Source organism: Homo sapiens, chromosome 2 (assembly GCF_000001405.40).
Source record: "Homo sapiens chromosome 2, GRCh38.p14 Primary Assembly".
Classification (NCBI taxonomy): Eukaryota; Metazoa; Chordata; class Mammalia; order Primates; family Hominidae; genus Homo; species Homo sapiens.
Genome location: NC_000002.12, coordinates 131,564,129 through 131,565,714, shown reverse-complemented (window position 1 = coordinate 131,565,714; position 1,586 = coordinate 131,564,129). Strand labels below are relative to the sequence as shown.

Below are 1,586 nucleotides of genomic sequence, written 5' to 3'. Positions count from 1 at the left end.
GGTGTGTGTCTACTGTGGGTAAACTTGAACCTGTGAACCTAAGCCACAAACAGAAAAGGAAGACATAGGAACCAAATACCCATAGACCATACAATGGCTTCGCCATCTCACTTTTCTTCTCAAAGGGACACAGAAATCACCACTAACAAAAGCTAATGTGACCATGTGAGACTAAGGACAACTTCAGAGCTTCACGCAGCTTCAACACAGGACAGAAAATACTGAACCCAAATAAAAGGCATCTTGCAGACTAGAAGAAAATTATGAAAAACTGTCAATCTGGAAGGGCTTCTTATCTAACATACTCAAGAAACTAATGGTCCTAAGTGGACAAAAATACAAAAACCAAAACACATGCTAAAAATGCCCAAAGGACTGGCATAGCCATTTCTGAAAAAACCTGAAACAGACTCTCAGGTAATAGAAAAGTTTGTCCACATCAGAAGAGTTTCTTCCCAGAGAACGAGTATGACCAGAAACAGCAATAAAACTTTGGAAGATAAGGGCAGTGTAGATTTGCAGACAGAGGAACTATTACACACTACTGGTTTGAATGCAAATTCGTATACCTGCTGGGAGACAGCTGGAGGTTTCTGAAACAATTAACACAACCACCAGTTCCTCTAGCCATCCCAACACTGGGTATACCTGCAAAGCCAACCAAACCTACCTTAAGGAGGTATCTCCCTCTCATGTTTCATGAAGTACTCTGGACAATAACTAAGATGGGGAATCAACCTACTTGTCTTTCTACAGATTAAAAAATGCAGGAATTGAAGGATATATGCACAACGGTATACTCTTCAGCCATCAAACTTCCGGACATCAGTTCACTACCAGCAAGATGGAAAAACCTGGAAGACATTAAGTTAAAAAACATGAACCAGGCAGAGGAAGACAAACACAAATACTGCAAAATCTCATGCACGTGGAATCTAACAAAGTGAATCTCATAGAGTAGCAATGTCAACAGTGGGTACCAGAGGCTGGGGGGAGGATTGGAAATGGCTGCAAAGGGATGTTCAGATGAGACGCAGTTACTCTGGTGTTGTACGGCACAGCAGGGTGACTAGGCTTAACAGTATCATAACATAATATTCAATATTGCTGGAAAGGATTTGGAATGCTCTCTCCATCAAGAAATCCTCACTGTAGCATGAAACAGACGCTAGGTCCTGCAGTTTCATTGATTCATGTAAAAAGGTCCGTTGCACCCTTTAAATAAAAACACAGACCATGTCCTATTTTTGTTTTCCATATAGGATCACAACACAATACTAAAAATCCCGTGGGACAATCAAATGCCCCGCATTCCCAAAGCAGTTCCTACACATACAAAGTCGGTGGAGCCATCACACTCTTCCACTTTACATTACTTCCCAAAGCTTTAGTTACCCAAGCCATTCGTGATAGGCATTAACAGAGAAACAGGCCAATAAACACAATGAGGGTGTCCAGCAGCAAACTCAAATGAAGGTCTCAGTTAATTTAGAAAGTTTATTTTGCCAAGGTTGGGAACACACTCGTGACACAGCCTCAGGGACATGATGACATGAGCCCAAGGTGGTCAGGGCACAGCTTGGTTT

At 41.8% G+C, this 1,586-nt stretch overlaps 1 annotated feature.

Moving 5' to 3' along the window:
• Positions 490-669: a silencer, noted in NCBI's record as "silent region_11969". NCBI's record gives its function as "represses an Ori minimal core promoter by ATAC-STARR-seq in GM12878 lymphoblastoid cells {active_cell/tissue: GM12878}" and the evidence as "EXISTENCE:reporter gene assay evidence [ECO:0000049][PMID:35858748]".